This window comes from Homo sapiens, chromosome 15, assembly GCF_000001405.40.
Source record: "Homo sapiens chromosome 15, GRCh38.p14 Primary Assembly".
Taxonomy (NCBI): domain Eukaryota; kingdom Metazoa; phylum Chordata; class Mammalia; order Primates; family Hominidae; genus Homo; species Homo sapiens.
This window is the reverse complement of record NC_000015.10, coordinates 59,870,702-59,875,847: the sequence shown is the minus strand read 5'-3', so window position 1 is coordinate 59,875,847 and position 5,146 is coordinate 59,870,702. Positions and strand designations below refer to the sequence as shown.

The following is a 5,146-nucleotide window of genomic DNA, read 5'->3' as shown; positions in this document are numbered from 1 at the left end:
TGTGGCTTGCAAAAGGATTATAATGTATATTCTGTTTTGTGACCAGCTTATTTCACTTAAAAATATTGGGATGACCTTTCCATGTCATTAAATATTCTACAACATCATTTTCTATAGCTGCATGGTAACTTACTGAATGGATGTATCATTGCTTACGTTTACTTAGTTTAATAACTTACCTAATGTGTTTCTATCCACACAAGATGAATGGAAGTCTTTCAATACTATTACCCAAAACAGTGTTCCCAGGTCCTGTCCTCCCTCTTCATGACTAAATGGCAAATGAAAGCCTCAGATGACATCTTTTCAAGCCCTCATGGCAGGCCAGGCTCATGGACTGTGTAAGATAATATTTGAGCATGTTCAAAGAACCCCTGAAATAAGCCCGGGACTGTGGTGCTTCCCATTCCTTCCACTCATGGAATAATCATCCCTTGTGTTTCAAAGTATCTGTGGTTCCAGAGTACTTCCTCCTGTAGTCCAATAATTACCACTGGGTGCTGTGGTCATTCTAATCCTCCTTCCAGAAGGGAGGTGACTGAGTCTCAAGAAGCTGCAGTAACTTAGCAAAGATCACCCCAATGGTGAATCTCAGAACTACACCTGAACCCAGACTTGTAGATTCCAAGTTCACTGGAATTTGTCCTCCAATGCAATGCTGTGTGGAAGGGGGAGAAAAAGGAAAGAACGAAACAAAAAAAGGAAAGGAAGGAAGGAAGGAACAAAGAAAGAAAGAAGAAAGAAAGAAAGAAAGAAAGAAAGAAAGAAAGAAAGAAAGAAAGAAAGAAAGAAAGAAAGAGAAAGAAAGAAAAGAAGGAAAGGAAAGGAAAGGAAGGGAAAGGAAAGGAAAAGAAAGGAGGGAGGGAGGGAAGGAAGGAAGGAAAAGAAAGAAAGGGAGGGAGGGAAGGAAGGAAGGAAGGAAGGAAGGAAGGAAGGAAGGAAGGAAGGTAGGAAAATGATAGGTATCTGTGGCTCTGGTAGTCAGAGGGGCAGGTAGGGAGGGCAGGAGGTTTTCCCAGTCCATCCTGTACGGACCTGTCTGTCTTCCACCTAAAAAGACTCTCCTCTCAGAAGTCGAGGAACAGAGATGAGCAGCTTTTTCAGGTACAAGCTTCAGAATCATAGATCTCAAAAGACGAAGCTATTTCTCTCCCACTTTTGCAGCCACCAAATAATCAACTGCTTGTACCATCTGCATGTATTGGTGGTTATCTCCCCTCACCTCACACTGTCCTCACCCTGCTGTCCTCAATATGAAAATGTTTCTGGCATAAAATACACATGTTCTATAGATCAGAGCCTGTCCAAGCAGTACACCCTGCTGTCCTCATCGCAGGGAGACACCTGGATCCATCCTCACTCCTGGAGGGCTGGCCTGAACAACAGTAGTTCCCTCTGAGCTCTGAGGCCTCCTGGAACCAGGCACACAGGCAATGGGCAAAACCTTCAAGGACAGCAATTTTCACTCAGCCCCTTGGCAGGCCATGGGGTCTCAGACTTAGTGAAGGAACACAGACCTAGGAGTTTCTCTGGGTTTTTATCTCATTCTAACGCTTACTAACTGTGTGCCTCATGGAAGCCACAGGATGTTTCTGACTCCCGGTTTTCTTGTCCACAGAAAGGAGGGGAAGATTGAGCAGAGTAGTTGTAAGGATATGCAATAATATCAATAAAGTGTATGTATATGCATTAAATGCCTGACATATATCAGGAACCCTATAAATGTTAGCTTTCCCATCCTGGAGTTTACGTTAGAGAGTGTATTAAAACCACAGGTGGGTGTTTTCTTCTTAAGGGCCTCGTCTGAATCTGAGAGCCTATGAAATTGGGAGTTTATGAGTGTAGGGGGGCATGGTGATAAGGTAAACAAAACTCAAAGGAAAAAGCTGATACTTTGAATAATGGCACTCTATCTAAATGCCTTTGGCCTGTGAATGGAGTAGGCTGCTTTTCTCTAAAGCAGCAGCCACAGCTTGGCTGGGGAGGCCTCAACAGTCTCTCTAGTTTCATCAGTGTCTCCAAGACAACCCAGATAAATAGACAGTGAAAGCACAAATTATTTGCTTGCTGTGGAGATTTGGCATCAACACAAGTCCCCTACCTGCCCCCACTCTAGTCTCTAAACACTTCTCATGTAGAAAATTAAGATCTGCCTTGCCCTATAACTTAGTGAACTTGGTCAGGGTGATGGGAATATCCTGAAGATAAAAGTGCACACTCTGTTCTAGTGTTGCCTTTGGTTAGTGACTCCCTGAATGAGAGTGAGGTATTAAGAAGCTGTGTGCAACATGAGCCCTGAGAGCTGAGTAGCCATACTGTGTGGCACTGTGGTCTTGGCACTTCTTGGACAGCATGTCTCACCTGCTGATGAAACTCCTGAGCAAGAAGATCAAGAAGCAGAACCTCAAAATGCACACCGGAACCTAAAGTTGCCGGGGGCCTCAAATCTGACCCTATCAGAAACTCAAAACGGAGGTGTGTCTGAAGAAACGATGGGAGGTGGAAAGGTTAAAAAATCAAAACGTTCTGTGAATGTGGGGTTATCAGAAGCTCAAGATGGAGATGTGTCTCAAGAAACAGTGGAAAATGTAAAAGTTCAAAAATCTCCTCAGAAATCCATTGTATTAACAAACGGAGAGACAGCAATGCAGTCTCCCAATTCAGAATCAAAAAAGAAAAAGAAGAAAAAGGGAAAAATGGTGAATGATGCTGGGCCTGATGTAAAAAAAAGCAAAAACTGAAAACAAAGGGGAATCTAAAGAAGAAAGTGCCAAGACTCCCAAAGAAACAGAAAATAATCTGGAGAAGCCAGATAATGAGGAAGATAACCGTGAGGTGCCCAGCCTGCGCCTGAGACTGACAGGAGCTTTTGACGATACTTCATTTGCTTCTCTATCTAATCTTGTCAATGAAAACACTTTGAAGGCAATAAAAGAAATGAGCTTTATGAACATGACTGAAATTCAGCATAAAACCATCAGATCACTCCTGGAAGGCAGGGATCTTCTAGCAGCTGCAAAAACAGGCAGTGGTAAACCCTGGCTTTTCTCATTCCTGCAGTTGAACTCACTGTTAAGTTAAAGTTCATGCCCACGAATAGACCAGGGGTCTTTATTCTCTCACCTACTAGAGAACTAGCCATGCAAATTTTTGGTGGTCTTAAGGAGCTAATACTCACCACATGCATACCTATGGGTTGATAATGGGTGGCGATAACACATCTGCTGAAGCACAGAAACTTGCTAATGGGATTAACATCATTGTGGCCACACCAGGCCATCTGCTTGACTATATGCAGAATACACCAGGGTTTATGTATAAAAACCTACAATATTTGGTTATTGATGAAGCTGATAGAATCTTGGATGTTGGGTTTGAAGAGGAATTAAAGCAAATTATTAAACTTTTGCCAACATGCAGACACACTATGCTCTTATCTGCCACCCAAACTCGAAAAGTTGAAGACCTGGCAAGGATTTCTCTGAAAAAAGGAGCCATTGTATGTTGGCGATGATGGTAAAGCTAATGCAACAGTGGATGGTCTTGAGCAGGGATACGTTGTTTGTCCCTCTGAAAAAAGATTCCTTCTGCCCTTTGCTGTCCTTAAGAAGAACCGAAAGAGGAAGATTATGGTCTTCTTTTCATCTTCTATGTCTGTGAAATATCACTATGAGTTGCTAAATTACATGGATTTGCCCATCTTGGCCATTCATGGAAAGCAAAAGCAAAATAAGGGTACAACCACATTCTTCCAGTTCTGCAAAGCAGATTCAGGAATACTATTGTGTATGGATGTGGCAGCAAGAGGACTGGACATTCCTGAAGTCGACTGGATCGTTCAGCATGACCCTCTGGATGACCCTAAGGAATATATTCATCGTGTAAGCAGAACAGCCAGAGGTCTAAATGGGAGAGGTCATGTCTTGCTCATTTTGTGCCCAGAAGAAATGGGGTTCCTTCACTACTTGAAACAATCCAAGTTTCCATTAAGTGAATTTGACTTTTCCTGGTCTAAAATTTCTGACATTCAGTCTCAGCTTGAGAAATTAATTGAAAAGAACTGCTTTCTTCATAAGGCAGCCCAGGAAGCATATAAGTCATACACACGAGCCTAGGATTCCCATTCTCTAAAACAGATCTTTAATGATAAGTTGCTCTGTCATCTGGTTTCAAGGTGCCTCCCTCTGTTGATCTGAACATCAACAGCAATGAAGGCAAGCAGAAAAAGTGAGGAGGCAGTGGTGAATTTGGCTACCAGAAAACCAAGAAAGTTGAGAAGTCCAAAATCTTTAAACACGTTAGCAAGAAATCATCTGACAGCAGACAGTTCTCTCACTGAAGACACGCCTTTCTTTCATCTTGAATAACTTCGTCCTAAAATGAATTTTTTCCCCCTTGAATTTAAACAAGATTTCTGTAAATTGACTTGGGTTGCAAGCACTGAGCACTGTTACTTCTATCAAGTCTCTTTTTTATTTTTGGGATATAAAACAGGCTTTAAATTTCTTAGTTGCCCAAGGGCAAAGCAATAAATCTCTGGTCTTTCTTGTGATTATATAATATTTTAAATATCCCCCCAACCACATACACACCAATGTACATTATTGTTTTAATGTAACTCCTGTAAAAGGTGACCTAGTGTACCAGGCAGCTGGTGGTAATGCAGAGAAGAGTCTAAGGTTATTTTTCATTTTTAGTTATTTCATGAACCTTGACAGTATCTCATGACTCCTCCTGAAAATGCTGCAGTATAAAAGAGCAAAGAGATTTGGGAAATACCTAAGAAGCACCTTAGGATTAGGGTGGCATTGCTTTTATAGATTTTTGATTTTAAAGCAATGAGCCTTTCTCAGGTGTTTTGTATAAAGTGTCACTAGCTGTCATAACATTCGACAGGTGGGGGGTAGGAAAACGGTGAAATTGAGATGGTTGAGCCTCATTTCCATCAATAAAGGTGTAATATAGTGCTTCATTTCCATCGATAGAGGTGTAATATACTGCATTTCTTCATTTGGTAACATAGCAAAGACTTTAAAAAAACACAAAGAATGGTGATGCTCCTAATTCGGATTTCTTTATTTCAAGGTGGTTTGGATTTTGGTAAGCCTTTTCACTCTACAGAGTACTTAGAAGACAAGGCCGCCAA

General features: G+C 41.6%; 1 pseudogene; it reads left to right on the top strand.

Annotated features, from left to right (window-relative positions):
* On the top strand, window positions 2,286-4,704 carry DDX18P2 (DEAD-box helicase 18 pseudogene 2; annotated as a pseudogene).
* The last annotated feature ends 442 nt before the right edge of the window (window positions 4,705-5,146 follow it).